General features: G+C 46.9%; 1 protein-coding gene across 4 annotated transcripts in view, besides 3 other annotated features; it reads right to left on the bottom strand.

Annotated features, from left to right (window-relative positions):
- AGAP1 (ArfGAP with GTPase domain, ankyrin repeat and PH domain 1) overlaps positions 1–19,633 on the bottom strand; it is a 637,751-nt gene that overhangs the window by 252,742 nt on the left and 365,376 nt on the right. The gene's annotated exons all lie outside the window — the stretch shown is intronic.
- Positions 1,959–2,459: an enhancer, noted in NCBI's record as "H3K4me1 hESC enhancer chr2:236785237-236785737 (GRCh37/hg19 assembly coordinates)". NCBI's record gives its function as "activates a minimal SCP1, AML or CMV promoter by ChIP-STARR-seq in naive H9 embryonic stem cells {active_cell/tissue: H9 hESC(naive)}" and the evidence as "EXISTENCE:reporter gene assay evidence [ECO:0000049][PMID:30033119]".
- Positions 2,460–2,960: an enhancer, noted in NCBI's record as "H3K4me1 hESC enhancer chr2:236784736-236785236 (GRCh37/hg19 assembly coordinates)". NCBI's record gives its function as "activates a minimal SCP1, AML or CMV promoter by ChIP-STARR-seq in naive H9 embryonic stem cells {active_cell/tissue: H9 hESC(naive)}" and the evidence as "EXISTENCE:reporter gene assay evidence [ECO:0000049][PMID:30033119]".
- Positions 13,000–14,238: an enhancer, noted in NCBI's record as "VISTA enhancer hs521". NCBI's record gives its function as "enhancer in: limb[6/6] | branchial arch[6/6] | eye[4/6] | ear[6/6]" and the evidence as "EXISTENCE:transgenic organism evidence [ECO:0001131][PMID:17130149]".

Below are 19,633 nucleotides of genomic sequence, written 5' to 3'. Positions count from 1 at the left end.
CCAAAGTCTCCTGTTCCTACTGATGGGCGGTGACCTGCTCCCCACGCAGAACCTCTGGGTGTCCCAGCCACTGCCCAGCCCAACACTTTTGGTCTTGAACTTCAGCTCCCCCTTCCAAAGCACAACCACCAAGGGGCGGCTGCTCAGGATCCCTCTGGCAGGCACCTCTGTCACCTGAGTCCCTTGCAGGGAGAGAAGTGAGACTTCATGACAACTCGCATTTTATCTTCCCGCTGCACCCCACAGTTTACAGAGGGTATCCCCAATTCCCAAGACATTCTGATTCAGTCAAGGAACATGAGCGGACAGGGGCTCCGCTTCACTCCCAAATTCCCACTGAAATATAATGTGAGCTTGGAGTGAGAGCAGATGAGCAAATATTTCCCTTAACTGAGAGTGCACATGGCTCCAGAGGAAGCGGTTTCTGTTTGCTAAATCCAGGAGCAGCCTGAGAAGGCCTCAACCCTGAGTGTCTTCAAGGAAAGGAGAACAGGACAAGAAATCTCAACCCGACTAGCAAATTCCAGGAACGGGGTGCCCAGGGCTGCTGGAAACTAGAGATCAGACCTGCTTGGCAGGGAGGAGTACTTTAGCCCAGAACGTGACTGGGCCAACATGCTGCCACCAACAAGCCCCTGGGGTTGTGCAACACAGCGACCCTGCAGGGCTGGAGGGTCCCACGTGGCCAGATTTCCTGATTATCAAAGAGAAGGAGAAACACTGGACTTGTGTGTGATGGCTTCTTATGTTAAAATACTGGCCACAGGTATACATTTTTGCATTGAACGCTGGTTACACTGAACCTGCTGCAGGCCAGCTGCACGTGCACGCGGTGTTTGTGACTTCTGGCCAAGAGTCACTGGGGTTGGATGGAGTCCCCCTGCCCTCCTATGGATCTTAGGATCCAGCAGCCGCAGCACCCATACTCTCCATCTGACATGGGAATATGGCCCTGAGGGGCAGCAGTGTGCAGAGGCCACACTCTCGGGTTTCCACGGGCACCGTGGGCCCTTCTCTCAAATCAGCGGGCTGCCCTCAGCCCCACTTCCTGCCTGGCCCTGGAGGTGCCTGAATGTCTGGGCCCTGCCATAGGTGTGCAGGGTGGAGGGAGGAAGGGGTTATCTGATTTGCATTAGGAAAGATTCCCCTGGCGAGGACAAATTTTAAGTTGGCAAAAGACGGAAGCACTTTCCAGCTCAAAGTGTGGCCCACTTTAGACCAGTGGTTGGGTGTACCCAAGAGGGGGAGGGATCAATCCAAATGTAACAAGATCCCCAGACGGTCTGAGCAAATTTGAGATGCAAGGGAAACCTGTCATTTTCTCTGGAACCATAATTTCTCCAAGAGAATTTTTAAATTTTTGAGTGTATTTTAATCACTATCTAAAAAGTGATCCAAAACCACCACTGGATTCCACTGCCCGAGTTGGCATCTCCGACTTCCTAGGTCATGAGTGGTGCTAAGGGGGACAGCGCTGAGGGAGACGCAACATGTAAATCACTCACTCTGAGAACAAGTTAACCCCCGGGGAAGGCACCGCATGCTGTACACGAAACGATTTCTCAGTATGAAAGCAGGAAAGGAAGAGACTGGGGTCACCACGTGATACGGTCACGAGGCAGCTGACACCAAAGGAGCCTGCCCTGCAACCGTCATCCCTAACCCCTGGCACGGATGGCCGTCATTTTGTTTCAGCAAAACATCATCATCCTTAACATTAAATGCACAGTAAATTAATGGTATTAATTTAAATGTTTAATAAATATAACTTTTATATCTATTTAAAAGCTATAAAGACAAGGAGCTGAATCTTAGTTTTCTGCTTGTACCTAACTGCATAATTATTATCAAAACAGTTAAATCAATGTTGAAGGATTCATGAGATTTTTGTTCTTTTAAATGGCTCTGGCAGGGCGTGGTGGCTCATGCCTGTAATTCCAGCACTTTGGGAGGCCGAGGCGGGTGGATCATGAGGTCAGGAGTTTGAGACCAGCCTGACCAAATGGTGAAGCCCCAACTCTACTAAAAATACAAAAATTAGCCGAGCATGGTGGTGCATGCCTGTAATCCCAGCTACTTGGGAGGCTGAGGCAGAAGAATTGCTTGAACCCGGGAGGCAGAGGTTGCAGTGAGCCAAGATTGCGCCATTGCACTCCAGACTGGGCAACAAGAGTGAAACTCTGTCTCAAAAAAAAAAAAAAAAAAGGTTCCACACCACTCAAATGTGGGAAAGACTGGTCTAGAATGGCAGCAACGATCAGGGATGCGCCTGGGGGCAAGAGAGGAGAAGGAAGGCAGGCAAGGAGAACGCAGATGCAAGAAACACGCTGGAGGTAAAATCGGGACAAGGTGCTGGGTGAGGTGGGGCGGGGCCAGCACAAAGTCAGGCTTTAGTTGTCGTGGCCCAGTGGGGTCATTCACTGAGCCAGAGAGTACAGGAGCTGGTGACCAGGAGGGAAAAGAAGACTTTGGTATCAGCCACACAGCACTGGGGGGCTGGTGCCCCAGGCAGGCAAGGCGGCCAGGCCAGCCGTTGAGGTTCCACGTTCAAGGAGGAAGTCCGGGAGACGGAGGGTGGCTGGGGAGGAGCCATGAGAGAGGAAGAAGCCTAGGGGTGAATATGGTGACACTTAAGGTTTAGCACGCAAGGGCCGGGTTATAATCTGCTTGGCCAACACAGAATCAGAATCCCATTTTGAAGAATTATCATCTAAGGGTCAGCACAATTTTTCCTGAGAATCATTAAAATCATGACGTAATCATTTAATAGGTTGACTAGTTCATTCTCCTTTAAAAATAAATTATTTTAAATATTTCTAAAAGTACATAAATTGATAGTAAAAAGCATCATGTTCACCTTAGGAAAACAACAGATACAAGTATTTGCAATTTCAAATGAGGAAGCTAGAGAACAATGAAGTAAAGATACAGAAGGCAATGCACACCTCTATTGGAGATGAGAAAATTATCTGCAGGTGAGCCCCTTACCCTGGAAACAAGTCATCTAATTATAGCAAGGAGATCTTGGTCATGGGTCTGACATAGAACAACTACTTTTTGAGGAAATTAACATTTGTTCCATTATATGGTCAAACTTAACTCTCATTAAATGAATCCATGTTAAATATAAACAAACAATGCATTGAGTTTTTAAAATGAAATAAAAAGACATTTACCCATTGAATAAAAATTTAGAAGTCCCTAGTGCAATTATAATGTATTTTGGAAGATGTTTTTGTCTGATTAGTCCGGATAAACAGCCATCAAAATCACTGCACGTACTGTCGGGCAGTGGGAAGTGTAGGTATCTGTGCACAACTAACACACAAGTCTCCAAGTGGCTCCATGTGTTGGTGTCATGGCGCCCCATAAGCAAATGCAGATGGGAAACAGGAGACCACACACTCCCGGGAAAGCTGGGGAGAGAAGCTCTACTCCACCACAGGCCCGGGCTGCAGGCGGAACCTCAGGAAACGTGCTGGGAATCACGTGTCCAATCGCAGCCTTCAAAGCACAAGTGTTCCGACACACAGTAAGCACGTGACTCAAAACCGACCTGGCCCTGAGCCGCACAGCCTCGTGGGCATCACAGACCTGTGCTGGGTTCTCAGCCCTGACAATCATCGAGTGAGGAAGGCCGGTCCGCTGGGAATCAGATCTCTCAGCAGACAGCACGATGGTGAGACTCGCACCTCGGTGGGCTTTTATCCTAAGATCTCAGGAACCCAAAGTGCTTGTTCATCCCAACAATTTAAAATACCATCGATTTTATTACAATTGTTGTTAGTCCCAGGAATTCTAAAAGGTGAAAACAAACAACGGGAGTTGCTCTCTGGTTGGCAGATACAGAAACAGGACAGGGCCATGGACCAGTAAGGTTGAAAAGTGACCTCATTTATAAAACAAGGCTGACCTCCTCCTTGCAGCAAGGGCAGATGGGGGAGAGGGGGTGACAGGGCTCTCTCCATCCCAGGACCCCAGGAATACTGCCTTTGGCCTCCAGGGTTCTTCTCCCAAAACTCAGTCTTCAACCAGTTCTAGTTTCTTTTTTTGCCCACGTTTGGGAGAGCTGTTTCTAGTTTGCTTCCGCTTCACAAGAGGTTACTGCCTATCTAATGGAAATGTGGGGCCATGATATTGACAATTTCTCTGATAAGAGGGTATTTTAGTACCAGTTTTTAAACTCATCCTCTGCCTTGATCCATGAGCGTGTGCAAGAGCACACGCACACACACATGCACACACACACTCATGGTATCTTGGTTCTAGGAGTAATGCTATCTTTGTAATGAGTTCTATACATGAGTGCCTTCTCTTTCACATTCACATGTCCAGGTTCTCTTGAAATTTCCAGAATAGATGAAGGCAAAGCCAGAAACATGACGAAGTCCTGTCCTGACCCCTAAGGACAGGAGCAGCTGATCCAAGTGAGGCCTGCACAGAATCTTGAGCTCACTCCAGTCCCACCCAAACCCGTCTGCTGTTAGCAGCCGAGCCTCTTAGCTCCCTGCAAAGTGCACTTCGGTTGCTCTGCCTAGGTGAAAGCACCTAGAGTGATGGACAGCAACTATAACCACAGCCCTGGCCCCAAGGAGGCATGAGGGCAGCCATGTCTGAGAAGCTGCTGCAGCGCCCCCAGTTAAGCCAACTTCCTTCTACATCACCAGGTACCCTCGGGAGCTCAGCTCAAGAATGTGGTTCTGGGCCGGGCACAGTGGCTTACATCTGTAACCCCAGCACTTTGGGAGGCCGAGGCCGGCAGATCACAAGGTCAGGAGATCGAGACCATCCCGGTAAACATGGTGAAACCCCGTCTCTAGTAAAATGCAAAAAATTAGCTGGGCATGGTGGTGTGCGCCTGTAGACCTAGCTACTTGGGAGGCTGAGGTAGGGCAATTGGTTGGAGGGAGAGGTTGCAGTGAGCTGAGATCACGCCACTGCACTCCAGCCTGGCGACAGAGCAAGACCCTGTCTCAAAACAAAAACAAAAACAAAACAAAACAAAAAACAGAATGCGGTTCTGGGCTGGGCGTGATGGCTCACGCCTGTGACCCCAGCACTTTGGGAGATGGAGGCGAGGGGACTGTGTGAGTCCAGGAGTTTGAGACCAGCCTGGGCAACAAGTTGAAACCCCGTCTCTACAAAAAAATACACAAATTAGCCGGGTGTGGGGGTGTGCACCTGTAGTCCCAGCTACCCGGGAAGCTGAGGTGAGAGAACTGCCTGAGCTCAGGAGGTCGAGGCTGCAGTGAGTCGTGATTGTGCCACTGCACTCCAGTCTGGGTGACAAAGTAAGACCTCGTCTCAAAAACAAAACGAAAATGTGGTTCTGGACTGACATCAAGGTCCTTCCACATGGACTGGACAGCGGCACTGGCCTTCCCACAGTCGGGTAACTTAGGCCTCCAAATTATTACACAGGCTTGCTCTTCCTTGAAGGGCCCCAATCCTGGGAAAGCCCGGACTCCCCAGCTGTGGATTTAATGCCCACAGATCTTTGACGTCAGAGAGTCCATGTCTGCATTTATACATGTAAACCTTTAAAAAAAAAAAAGTTTGCCAAAACAATAGGAAAAACTACAAAACTCTCTATTGTCTCTCCTTAAATAATTTTAAAAGGCTGTTCCTCAAAAGTACGATGAGACAGAAGCTCTCTGATGAGTGAAGACGTTGGCTGGGGCTTCAGAAGCAGGAGGCCAGAGGAGCAGTCATAATCAGAGGTTCAATTGGACTACAAATGAGCAGACTCGGGAAATAGCTTTTGTGGATTAAAAACATGCTTTTTCTTTCTTGGCTTAAATTAATTCTGAACACTGATTTTTGAAGAGTGTTTGTACCAAGTGGGAATCAGAGAATTTCAGTCTAGAGCGACCCCAGAAGTTAAACCATTCAGCCCTGAATCTGCTACAAAAATGTTTTGCATGATCCCCACCTGGGGTCCCGCAGTCTCTGCATAAGCACCCTGGGGACAGGGGTCCATAGGTCTCAGCAGTGAGAGCTGCCTGGATGATCTCCCTTGGAAAGAGCCAGGGTCCTCTGCCCTCCTGGGGCACGGCTGGTTCCTAATTCCAGAGCTGCACTGAGCCAGTGGGGACTTTCAGGGACCGTGGAGCCACCACAAAAGCCCCATTGAGAGGTCTTCTCACATGTGGCAACACAAGCCAAGCCCCTTCTTAGTCCACACTCTTCCCAAAGCAAGTTCCAGTTCGACCATGGGACGCCCCTCTGAACACACTCAGCATCCCCCATGTGCAGCAGCTAAATGGAAACCAATCGGGGAAGACAGGGGGCCCGTCGCTTTCCTTAGGGAGGAAGTGGTACTAAGGTGGCCCCCACTGGTCTGGGCTGAGCGCGCAGACAGCCTCCTCTATGTTCAATCAGTCCGAACTTTCACACTTCCTACTCTAAGGACCAAGAAAATGGAAAACCCTAAAAATAGTTCATTTGAAACTTTTAGAGGACATGAAGCCGTGATCCTACTGGCCAGAAGATGACAGAGGCCGGAAGGCTCTGCCTGAGATGCTCAGGAAGAGAGTTCCTGTCAGTGAGTGCCAATGGCCCCTGTGATCCTAAGTCTTTTTGATTCTGCATAACCCAGGGCCAGCGGCATGGTGGCATGTCACCATGCATACTTTGTCCATCTTTCAGATGCCACTTTTGTACATGTGAAAACCATCTCTGCTTAAGATTCTTTCTTGCTGTCCAGCTGTCACAGTGAAGACATCAATTACAGTTAACGCTTTCTTTGACTCCTATGTGGCTTCGGCATTTATTTAGAACTTTTTTTTTTTATTTCTATGCAATATTGGGCTCACTCTGAACCAGATGCTGCTGCTCTAAGTGCCTTGCAACTGTTAACCCACTGAAAGTGCATGACAACCAGATGGTCATTGATTATCCTCATTTCATGGACAGGAATTGATATGACACCTTTAACTGGGTTCCAAAGAGTATGAATACCAATCTCTCAGTATTCACAACTGCATATTTCATCAACTGCAATCACAACTGATATCCACGACGATTCTCATTTCATGGATAAGGACACTGAAACAGACTGCTTATGTAACTTGCCCAACATGCACAGCCAGCGTGGTATCTGTTCTCCAAAGACGGCTCCCATTGAACCACACTTCGTGGCACTGGTGTCCCTGTATAAATAAATCCTCCCACACTGACCCTGGGCTGCCCGAGACTCACTTTAGCTAACAGCATCAGTGGGAATAACACTATCTCCATTGGGTTTAATTCTCGAGAAAGCCTAGCAGCACCTGGTGCCTTGGGAAGCTCTGACAGATAAGTCAGCCCTGCTGGGCTCTGTCCACAGGTCTCAGCCACAGTGTTATAAGAAACAGTCAAATGATCATTTTCTTAAACCCTGAAGTTTCAGGGTGGATCCTTATGCAGCAACAGGTAAGAAAAACAGAATTAGCATCCTGTACTGCTGTAACAAAAATCAAAAACACATGGCAGTGGCTTTGGAACTAGGCAGTTGGCTGAGGCTGGCAGAGATGTAAGAAGCATGAGTGGAAGTTGTGAGGACAGTGAGGAAAATGCTACCTTAGGATGGAAATGGGGCCGGCAGAACAGGTACCAGCAGGGCAATTAGCAACCTGCCCCCTCCCGGCCACCCCACGCAGGGGGATGGGTAGCATAGCAAGAGTGCCTCGTGAGCCTGCACACCTAGCTACCAGATTGCCATGCCAGATGCTGGAAGTGCTCCTGGCTCTGTTAAATACGGGAGGAGAGAGAGGAGGTCCAGGGAATTTTCCAGCACAATTAGAAAAAATATTTCAACTGTAAACCTTGCTGGACTGATCACAAAACAGTTTCTCATTCCCAGCTTCTCCTGACAGCAGAAAACCCTTGAGTAAGAACTGGCATCAGAACTAAGATCAAATCCTGGGGATGCCAGTAGCTGTGATCTCAGAATGAGGACCCCTTCAATGGTGTGGCAGTCAGACCCTTTCCTTGAGAACTCAAATATTTTAAGGCAATGCCTCACAGACCCTTCTGATTAGAGATCCATGGATTAGAGAGAGAAATCTGTGCATTAGCTTTTGTTTAATGGAACAGATTATGATTTGACACAAAGGATACCCACAAGATTTTTAAAGGAATTATACCATCTTGGATTAAAATGCACAGAGAAAGTTCAGAAAGAAAAGTGGTCTCTGGGCCCTCAACTTTAAGTACAGCAGGAAGCAGGCTGAGAAAGCTGCATAGTAGCAAACATGGGTCAGTTCTTATGGGAAAGGCAGAGGGCAGAGCCAAGGGCCAAGGAGGATGCCTCCTGGGGAGAATATACAGTTCTTATGCCCAGAGCAGGGTGAATCAGCATCATGTGCTGGCTGGATTTCAGAATTGTTATGGCCCAGTGACTATTCCATGTCTCTTGTCCCTCTCCATCATTTTTTTTTTTTTCCAGATGGAGTTTCACTCTTGTTGCCCAGGCTGGAGTGCAATGGTGCAACCTCAGCTCACCACAACCTCCACCTCTCAGGTTCAAGTGATTCTCCTGCCTCAGCCTCCGAAGTAGATGGGATTACACACATGTGCCACCATGCCTGGCTAATTTTGTATTTTTAGTAGAGACAGGGTTTCGCCATGTTGGCTAGGCTGGTCTTGAACTCCTGACCTGAGGTGATCCACCTGCCTCAGCCTCCCAAAGTGCTGGGATTACAGCCTCTCCACCTTTTTAGAATAAGGGTATCTGCTGCAGTTCTCCTGTTCCTGAGTCACCACTGCATGGTGTGTGAGATAACTTGTCCCCTGCGTATCGTGGTCTTCCGATGGGGAGGACCACATGCAAGGAACCTCATCCACGTGTACCTGGTGTAGACGACAAGGCCATGAACTTCAAGCCTGGGCTGGATGCCATAATGGCTTGAGACTTTGGGTAGCTGGGGACAGGCTGTGGGTACTTTGCAGGAAGGAGGGTAGAGTGAAGTAGCTAGTGTCCGAAGATGGCACACAAAAACCAGCCCCCTCATCCCCCGTGGTGCTCATATCCTGTGTGATCACTCTGTCCTCTGACTCAATTGAACCAACAGAATGTGGTGGAAATTATGCTGTGCCACTCCTGGCCAAAGCCTGAAGGAGGCCTGGAAACTCCTGCTTTACACCCCTGGGAAGCCTGCGCAGCCTTGTTAAGAGGTCAGACTATCCTACTGGGGAGACCAAGTAAAGAGGAGACACCCTGAGACTATTTGAGGAAGAACTGAGGTCTCAGATAGATGACTGCCAGTGACCTTTTCACGTCAGCCTCCAGCCAGCTGTGCCACTTTTGCTGAGGCATCAGATACATCAGTAAAGAAATGATCTTGGACGCTGTAGCCCTAAGAAAGTATCTTGTGGAGCATGGACAAACTGTCCCCAATATGCCCTGCCCAAACTCCTGACCCACAGAATCATGATAAACAATAAGGTGGCACTTTTATTTTTTATTTTTGAGACGGAGTCTCGCTCTGTCGCTCAGGCTGGAGTGCAGTGGCGCGATCTTGGCTCACTGCAACCTCCACCTCCTGGGTTCAAGTGATTCTCCTGCCTCAGCCTCCTGAGTAGCTGGGATTACAGGCACCTGCCGTCACGCCCGGCTAATTTTTTTTTTTTTTTTTTTTTTTTTTTTTTTAGTAGAGATGGAGTTTCACCATGTTGGTCAGGATGGTCTCAATCTCCTGACCTTGTGATCCACCTGCCTCGGCCTTCCAAAGTGCTGGGATTACAGGCGTGAGCCACCATACCTGGCCAAAATGGTACTGTTTTAAGCCACTATAATTTGGGCTCATTACCCAGCAATAGATAACCCAAACGGCAGTAAGGGGAAGAAACAGGCGCAAGATTCGAGGTACAAACCAAGGGTTTATACTTGTTACCCCGCTGCTATGCTGCCTCCCTGCAAACCATTTCACCCACCAGACAAATTTTAACTTGTTTGTAAAGCAAGAAATTTCAAATGTTTTGTGACACCTCAAATTATTCTTCTTATGTTACTTGGAAATGGCAAATGTTGATCTAATTCCTACCACCTAATTTACTGACATATCAGAAAGACTGATTTTAATGACCTATAACCAAAATATCAGGATTCCAGGCAGGCACATCTTGCTTTAAGCCCAAGGAACCTTTTCTACAGTGGAGCAAAGAGTAGAATTGTCTTTTGGCTGCAATCCCTTTATTCGTCATGTGTATTCTTTGTCTAGTCCCAAGAGGTCATTGAAAGCCAAAAGCAATGTTAAGTGTACAAGCTTTAAATAACTTACAAAGTTAATGTCATGAATGTAAGTGCTATCTGAAACCCATCACTCAGTGTTTGCTGCAGCCCCAAGCTGTGATAAAACACCACTCATAAATTTATATTAAAACTCTGCTCGATAGCAATTATTTACCAACAAAGATTTATTGACTGCATTAGAGACTGGGGGTCTTAACCAGGCAAATCAGTCTTTGTTTTGAGTCTCAGGGACCAAATGGTGCCGGCCTCTGCTCGCACAGGGATCATCGTTACACAGAGGGAACATTTCATGGCTAAGCTCCTACGGGGTGATGGAGCAACAGTCTCAACGCAGGCGGCGCCATGTCAAGATCAGATTATCAACAGGCACGTCCACAACCACTCGCCTTTGCTCTGCGGGCAGCATTCCTCATCGGCTTTAACAGACACCGGGGGCCGTGCATGCATCTGACTGAATGTAAAGGACGGTGCACGTGTGATTTCGCAATGAGATCAAATGAATCCTCTTGCTGCTGCAGGAGCACTAATAGTTTCCTAATTACCAAGTTTTTTAAAAAAAGTTTTTTCTGGCTTAAAAACATCCATGCAAGTTCAAAAATGTTTCTACTTCTAAAAAAAAAAAAAGTGATGTTTGAGTACTTCGGTGGTTTTACAGTGAATATTGTTAATAGCTCATTTAGTGTCTTATGATTTGCATTCATTACACTTTGGAACAGGTTCTTGTTAAAGGTTTCTATGAAGTTCTAAAATAGGTCAAAGAAAAGCTGGCACCTTTAACTGAGATCCAAAGAGTGTGAGTACCAATCACACATTTGCATTTAATAATTTTATTCTAATTATTCTAATTAAGATTTTTCCCCCTATAAACATGTATTAAAACTGTGGCTGACAGGAACCAAACTGACCTCAATAAAACTAGAGAAGCGCATCTGGGTGGGTGGTGGGTGGATGGAATGTCATCATTGGAAACTGGAGAAGCACACGGGTCATACAAGCTGTGACCTATTCTTCCCCCACGGCACCAGCTCCATGCGGAAAATGGTACATCCAGGTGATGCCCCTGCTGAGGCTCCCCTGACATCCCACTTTTCCGTAACGAACACTTAGTCATCTTGCTTTTGCCCTCTCATTATGCTAAGCTATACCCTGCAGATAACACTTAGCTAGAAATAGGCCTGGACCCAAGACAGTGAAAATCCATGGCCCTGTGTGCTTGGTGTGGGGGTCACCCTCCCTCACTTGCACACACACACACACACACACACACACACACACACACACTGCAGCACCAGCATAAGGTGTATGATCCCGAGGGGCCAGAGCCTTCCCGCCTAACAGGAACTCTCACAGCCTGTGCACCCTCATCCAGACTATTAGCGTTGGGGATCCTACGGGACTGGGGCCGGCAAGCTCCCACATGTCGGCCAAATCTGATCCTCTGCCTCTTTCTGTAAATAAAGTTTTATCGGAACACAGTCAAGTTCATTGGTTGGAATGGCTGCATTTGCCCTGAACTGGGAGAGGTAGGTAGTTCAGGAGAAACCACACGACCCATGAAGCCTAACATACCTCCTCTCCAGCCTTTTATAGAAGACTGCTACAGGACAGGAAACCATGCAGACCCAATCAGAGGCCAGAAACTTTAATGTAAATTGGCAAATTCAATTCTTTTCCCCTGAAATGTCCTTCTTGCATCCTGCCCCTTCCTCTGGCCATCCTGGTGAGCGCCCCTTTAGCCTCCCATGCTGAGCTGCAGGGTCACAGGCTCCGCATAAGCAAGCACCCCCCGACGCCCATCCCTTAGACGATGACTATTATGGGCTGCATTGTGCTCCACTCCCTAATTCAGATATTGAGATCCTAACGCCCAGCACTCACGATGTGACTCTATTTGGAGTCAGGGCCTTTACAGAGCAAATTATGTTAAAATAAGGCTGTTAGGATGGGCCCTAATCCAATATGACTGTTGTCCTTATTAGAAAAGATCAGGACACAGACACTCACGGAGAAAGACCACGTGAAGACACAGGGAGAAGATGGCTGTCTGCAAGCCAAGGAGAGAGGCTTCAGGAGAAGCCAATCCCACTGAGGCCTTGATCCAAGACTTCCAGCCTCCAGAATTGGGAGACAATAAATGTTTGCTGTTTAAGACAAAGTCTGTGGTCTTCTGTTATGGCAGTTTGAGCTGACTCACACACACAGGTGCATGAACAGGCTGTGCACTGCTCTAGGACAGAGAAATGCTGTCTCCCCCTTCCCCCTCCAGCACACTGATGGCACCCAGCATGGGAGGTGGTCCAATGCTGACCTCACCAGTCTCACCAAATACGCCCCACAGGCCCTGGTGTCACACTGGGGACTTCCGCTGTCTCTTCCCCACTTGCTGGAGTCTCAATTCCCATTCCGTACTGGACACACTCCCCCGAGTATCTACCAGGTACCTCAAGTCCAGAACACCCCGATCACACACACGGATTGTCTCCCTCGGTGGGAATTCTGGGGAGTCAGGACTGTCTGAGTCGGCTCGGGCTCCCAGATTCCCACATCAGTAGCTAGCACCCGGCTCAACCTGCAAGAATAACCACACCAAGTTATAGATACTCCTAGTCTCAGAAAATAAAACATCAAAGCAGTCCACCAAAAATCTAAAACCAAAAATAAAGATGCGCACAGGGCATCGCATGCTGCTGCCTAACTAAAACAGCATCAAGTAAATCTGGATGAGTGACCCATATACTGCAAGACGTAGGGTTTAGCAGAAAAAAATCAAGTGTGGCAAAAATGACCAGACCGCAGATACACAGACATACATGGATCGAGACAGCTTTCATTCAAGCTGCAGAAAATGCCGTTAAGTGAAAGAAGTAAATCGATAACATAGAAATCATTCGTTGTGTGCAAAAACACATCCCAATTAACTGGCTTTCCCCAGTCCTCCACAAACGGAAAACTTCTGGCAAATTCACATCCACGATGCTGGGAGGTAAATTTTGGTAAAAGGAGATGACTAGAAAATGTGACCAGCAGACACAAGCTCTGCCGCTACTAAATCTTTTTAACTTTCTCTCTAGTTTAAAGTGTTTCCATAGGAACAGCAGGAATCCCCCCTTAACTGAGCTTTTTAAAATAGTAATATTTCCCGCCCTGCCCCTCCTCCAGAGCACCTATTATTTTACAAATGGAGGCTTTTCTGCAGCTCCTTCTGTACAGTGGAGGGAGTTGGGGGAGGGGCAAAGGGGCGAGGGGCCGATTCTGGATCTTTAACCAGCTCCCCAAAGACCCCCTCCCCTTTCCGGCGAGTAATATTTCTGTCGTTGTGCCAGGTTGCAGGGCACAAAGGGTTACACTTTAATTGAGCTGTCAGCATCTCCAGCAATCGTATAAAGCCCCGATTGCGCACGGCGGGGTCGGCGCCACACGTGTTACTGTGGGTGCCCTATTTGCGGAACCCAAGGCTGCGCCACACACAGGTCAGCTCACCCGCGCGACCTTCCTGTCATTAGCCGCGTCTATTCCTACCTCACTGCTGAGAAAATCGCACAGCACAGGCTTCAAAGCGCCGGCCGGGACTGGATTCGGCCAGGAGCTAATCACCCACAAATCCAGCTCAAATGGCAATAATTGGCTAAACTGCTCCCCTCTCCAGAGCTCAGCAGTAATTTGGGATAATAAAGAAAAGAATTATTCAGCTAACTGCCCCGAAATGTATGCTTTGTGACCGACACACTTCACATTTTAATAATGATGGACACAGAATCCAATTTAATACAGCGTCCACTGAATAACAAGACCAAGAACAATGACAGGGAAAGAAATAAAAAGTTTGTTGTGTTTCTCTCCTTCCCTTTTAAAAACCCATGTTGACGATGAGTAATGCCGACGAGATGTATGGTTCACATTAGGTCTGGCTAGCATTATTAAGTCCCAACCAGAACCAAATGCTAATCAAAGGAATTTTGAATATGGGCAGAAAAAAAGCCAATGAAGCTACTGTATGCTGGGGTACTAAGACCAAACCAAACCTCCTCCATCCAAAGGAAAGAAAAGAAAAGGAAAAGGAAACTAAGAAAAACAAAATGTTTTTTTTTCCCACCAGGACTGACAGATCCCCTCTTGATTTTTCTAGTTAATATTATCTCTTGATCGCCTCGTTTTTCTTTCCTTTCACTCTGTCTCTCCCTGTCACAAGATTTTCAGGGACGACACCAGGGACGACAGTATCTGCACTTAATGGCTGCTGGTGACACCTCTGCAGGCTGCCCCTCCATGCTGACCTGCGTTTGGGGGCTCCGGGGCCGCGCAGTGGAGCGGAAACGCTCAACCACCTTCCGGCCGCCCACCTCCTCCTCCCACCCAGACCGCCCTGGAGGCCAGAACCGCAAACAAAACCAACGGGCACTTACCATGGTCTGGAAATGGACTCCATTTCTCCCATAGCTAAAGAAAATTAAACAGAATCCAACTGCCTGCCTAGGAAGCACACCCAGGCCTCCAGGCCGGCCACAGAGTGAGCCGAACCCCTTCACATGATGGGGGCATTCTGCGAAAATGCAGAGTTCACGGGACTACACAGTGGCACATGGATATGGCAGGGAGGAATTCCTGAAAAAGGAACAATCAGAACCTGCTGCTCCTGCTTTATTCTAGCGAATGATCCCTAAATTGTTGTCACTGCAAAGATTACACATGCTACAGCAACTGTTTATTAAATCACGTGGGAACGGCCCGCTTGCGCATTCAAGTCAGATCTATAGAGTCAAAACCGAGCACACCAGGCAAGCTATGAAGTCGACTTTTATATCTATGGAAAATATTTACAAGTCCTCCGCATAAAAGATTTGTCCTTTCTCTCCAACACACACTTTTAAATACAGAAAGTTCCTGAATGACACACTTCCCTTGTTCCCTCTAGTTTCTCTTTTCCATTCCTGGCAACTTTTCATCCACCTGACTCTTCAATGCTCAGAGTTCCTTTCTTTCCGAGTTAACTCTTCCCCTAGAAGGTCTCATCCACAGCTGCAGACATCACTACCTGGTGTCCCACAGGTGGCACATCCTCAGCCTGCAAACCAGGTGTCCCGCCTCACACCAGGGCTTTCTCCCATGCTGCTGCCTTGCATTGGCCAGCGACCCGTAGTTAGCCATGTGCTCTCCCCACCGGGGCCTTCGATGACCTCGGGCCCAGGAGGCCCACCTCACACTGCCTCCCTAACCCCAGCCAGCGTCTGTCCCCTGGTCAGCTGAAATCATCCCTAGCTCAAAGAGGAGGCTGTACCTGTACCATCCCACAGGGCCACCCTCAGCCACATGTGCCAACTGAGGACTCGACGGGAGGCCAGTCCCAGCCGAGAGGTGCTATATAGGTGAACTACACACCAGATTTTGAAGGTTCTGTAGGGCGCAAGGTAACTTCTTGTATTGATTATATGCTAAAATGATCAAACACTGGATATACTAGGTTAAATAAAGCATATTAAAATAAACTTCAGATTCACTTATTTCTTCTTACTTTTTCTCATGTACCTGCCCCTGCAAAATGGAAATCACATTGTGGTTGGCACTGTGTTTCCATTTGACAGGGCTTCCCAGACCACGTGGGATGCCCCTGCCATCTGGCTCCTTAGTTGCTACATCATGAGCTTATGGACAGTAGGGACCACTCCCGTCTTGCCCATAACCTGGCAAATATCAAATGTTCAAAAAGTATTTGATGAATGAATTACTGAATGATTCTAACAAATCTCATGAATGGTAAAAAGTTTCATGGAGGTTAAGTAATTGGGCAAGGTAATATAACCAGTGAGCAGTAAAGGGGAAGCCACATTGTCTGTGGGCTCCAAATCCCATTATGATAACTACATACATATGCCCTGCCCTACACAGAGCAGAGGAGATTAGAAAAAGCATGCACACAGAGATCTCACCAGAGAGCAAAGCAACCCAAACAGTCTCAATGCACGCACGGTGAGTGGACAGCACCACCCTGGATGTGAAGAGGCATAAAGAACAACCCAGGGCTGCCCTCAGGATCCTGACATCTATTACGGAAGTTCAAAGGTGCATATGGTCTGTGAAGGCAATTCAGACATGGACTAGAGGTTCTACTGGAGAAATGAAAAGGATTACTCACTTTCCTCCTGATTAAAGAAAGAAAAAGGTTTATGCAGACAAACAGCCATGTGTCAATTTTAGTCTTAAAGACTTAAACCAAGAATGGCTAAAAGGTACCTGGGACAGTTTGCAGTTTGCACTGCCCTACCCCATGGTGATGGCAGATGGCATCTGCAACACCTGAGCCTCCGAAGCCTTCTCAACACAGCACTCCACGCAGTCTCTGCTACGGATGAGAACGGGCATGGAAAATGCACCCTACATCTGGCCCTGATCTCCAGAAACATTCCATGTGCACGTTTCATTACGAGCAGCACAAATATTTCCTTATACTGCTATTACTACCACCGCCACTTTGATGACGATGACAAGGACCGCTACCACTGCTACTGGCAATAACTCCTTACTACAAATAATTTAATTTCTTGGAAATTTGAATACCATCCCGAACTGATTAGAAGTTAGAAGACAAACTGTGCTTCTGGAAAACAAAGTGCATCGAATCAGAGTCATGGTCCCGGGCTGCACGTGCACGGAGCCATGGATGAATGGAGCCATGGATGAACACCCAGGACAGCAGGGCCCCTGAGTGGTCTAATGCACTCCTGCAGTTTCCTTTCTGAGACACTCACTCGCCAGGTGCTAAGCCATCCGGTAGTACAAGCTGAAGGAGGCACTCCTGGTTTTGATCTCTGACGAAAAGAATGAGCTCAAGCAAAGGTGCCCAGGACACTCAGGAACCCCACGGGGCAGGGTCCCCAATGGTTCTCTTCCTCCCAAATGGGACTTTTTAACTCATGTTACATCTAACATGTCAGAGAGATCTTTTCTACAGATGTTAATGTTTCATTTAAGGAAATGCCAAGTTACTGGAACTAGTGACCAGATGGAGGTAAGATACAGATATGCACAGAGAAGGTGAAGGGTCATGCCCAGAATCAATCCCCTGATAAGCAGGAATCAGGGTACCTACCAGTCCCCCAGGGACACAGTGGGTCTTTCTACAGACAAGCAGTCAGTTCAACTGCCTGGACCTTCCTGGAACTAAGGAGAGGGAAGAGAGCTGTCAGCATGCGCTCCCTGCAAATCACAGGCAGAGGCTGCCCTGCTAAACATAGGTAGTGCATGTGGGTGACAGAGGTGACAGTTAACGTGGGACAGCTTGGATGTGTTTCATTTCCACCAAATGTCCTCTACGAAAGCCTTCTCTGTTCCAACTTAGAGGCTGTAACAGAGATTGCATGCTGTTGCTATCAACAAGAGTGTGTTCCCTGATGAGGGAGTAGATTTCAATGGTGCCTGTGACACCTTTACCAGTTGCAAAAATCTGGATGAAAGGCACAGCAGTGGTCAAAACGGCACTTCTGGAAATGACCACATAGAACAGACCACACCTTATTTCACTCCCAAGTTCCCAAGTGCCAATTACCATTTAAAGAAGAGGATGAAGTGATGTTGAACAAATCCTCTGATTCATCACATTTAAAAAAACTACTCAAATGGTCCCCTATAGAAGTTGATTGTTAATCAGGACAATCGAATGATGAACCACTGCAAATATTGTATCAGCAAGCTAAAAATGGCCTTGTTTCAATGGAAGACTCACACAGTACATACTATATATAAAGTATTGCATTTCATGCCCCATTTCCTGTAACATATTAGTGGGCTCAGTCATCAAGTAACAATTGTCTCCTTGCCTGGTTCAGATATTGTGGTGGTAAGAGGAGGGGTGTCTGCAGTGGGAGAACAGCCCTTGGAGGCTGACGGCCGTACACAGGGAGAGATTTGGTACTATTTGTTTTATGGGCCCCATCAACAATATTAAATAATTGCACATCTCCGTTTTGGCAAATAATGCAGTCTTGGTAAATATTTATTTTTATACATGCTAATTGAACCATCATTTGGCATGTTGTTCTTCCTTTAATTATTTAAGATTACTCAAAAAAGAACGGCTGAATAGCAGAATCTTCCTGCAATTATTTGATTAATTTACTTCACTATTAAAATGTCAGAAACATTTATTACAAAAAAACAGAATCTGTACTACTGCCACTTCTCTGTAAAGCAAAACATTGTACTGTCTTTAATTGTGAGCTGTTTGGAATCTCAGTCAGTTGCTGTATTTTTGAGAAATTCCACAAATGAGAATAAGATTCACAAGGACAATACTGGATTTGTTAGACTCCTGTTAACACTATCCTAGATACCATTAATAAAATACGTATCTGTGATGTGAGACTGGAAGGTATGGGGAGACAGTGGTGACTAGAAAGCTGCGCAGTTAGAAAAAGGTAATCCTCATATTCAATCCATAAGCCATCTCCTTGAGGCAAAAAAAAAAGGTAATTATAATTATGGTTTCAAGTTAGAACAGTTAAAGGAAATACCGAACGCACTTACGTAATGACTTCCAGCAGAGCTCAGCATTATTATCTTCCTTTTTGCCTTGAGTGCTAGGATGCTCAGAGATAAAGTTATATTTTTTATTTCTCAGTGTATGTTTTCTGGTATGCCCTTTCCTTTGTTGCTTGACAACTATCTTTTCACTGTTTTAATGAGTATTTGTGTTTCTTTCAGTGTAAGATACAAGTTAAAAGGAGGAGGAGGAGGAGAAGAAGAAAACAAACTGAGATGAAGGTTTAGCCCCTAAACTTAGCATTACTGAGGACAGAAGAAAGCAATTATGAGACTGGGCTGGGAGGGGAAGGTAACCCATGGGGATGGTGATCCCAGCCTAGTTCCTTTACAAGAGACATTCGCAGTGGCCATACAACCTCTGCTTGCTGGTGGAAGGCGCTGCGCACAGCCAAGAACTGAGTTGTCCTAGAATCAGAGCTGTTTGTTGCCTCTTGCTGGCGAAAGAGGAGCAGCTCCAGGGCGGAGGCATTTCAGAGCCTTTTGAACTGTACACAGTGCTGTGAAGGGCAGGCAACGGCTTTTCAGACAATAGTTCAGAACTTATTCAGCAAAGCTCGATTTTTTCCTTCAAAGGTTGAAATTTGTTCTACAGATAAAAGTAATGCCTTCGGGAAAATAACTCTAAGGCCTTCCGGACAAATGCGAGTCTCTCTGAGCATTGAGTTACTATTGTGTTAAGGTATAGTCAGCTATGGAAATACAGTTAGAAAAGGGAAGCAGGAACTTTAAAAAAAAAAAAAACTGCTCAGAAAAAATAAGAAACTAGAAGGCCTCATACCAATTAGTCGTTCCTATCTGAAAGCTGCAGATCCAAAATAGTGTGTCGTTTTTAGAGGTAATATGCTCCCATTTTGAAAGGGGATG

The sequence above is a fragment of the Homo sapiens genome, chromosome 2 (assembly GCF_000001405.40).
Source record: "Homo sapiens chromosome 2, GRCh38.p14 Primary Assembly".
Taxonomy (NCBI): Eukaryota; Metazoa; Chordata; class Mammalia; order Primates; family Hominidae; genus Homo; species Homo sapiens.
The sequence above is the reverse complement of the archived record's forward strand: the minus strand, read 5'-3'. Positions and strand labels throughout refer to the sequence as shown.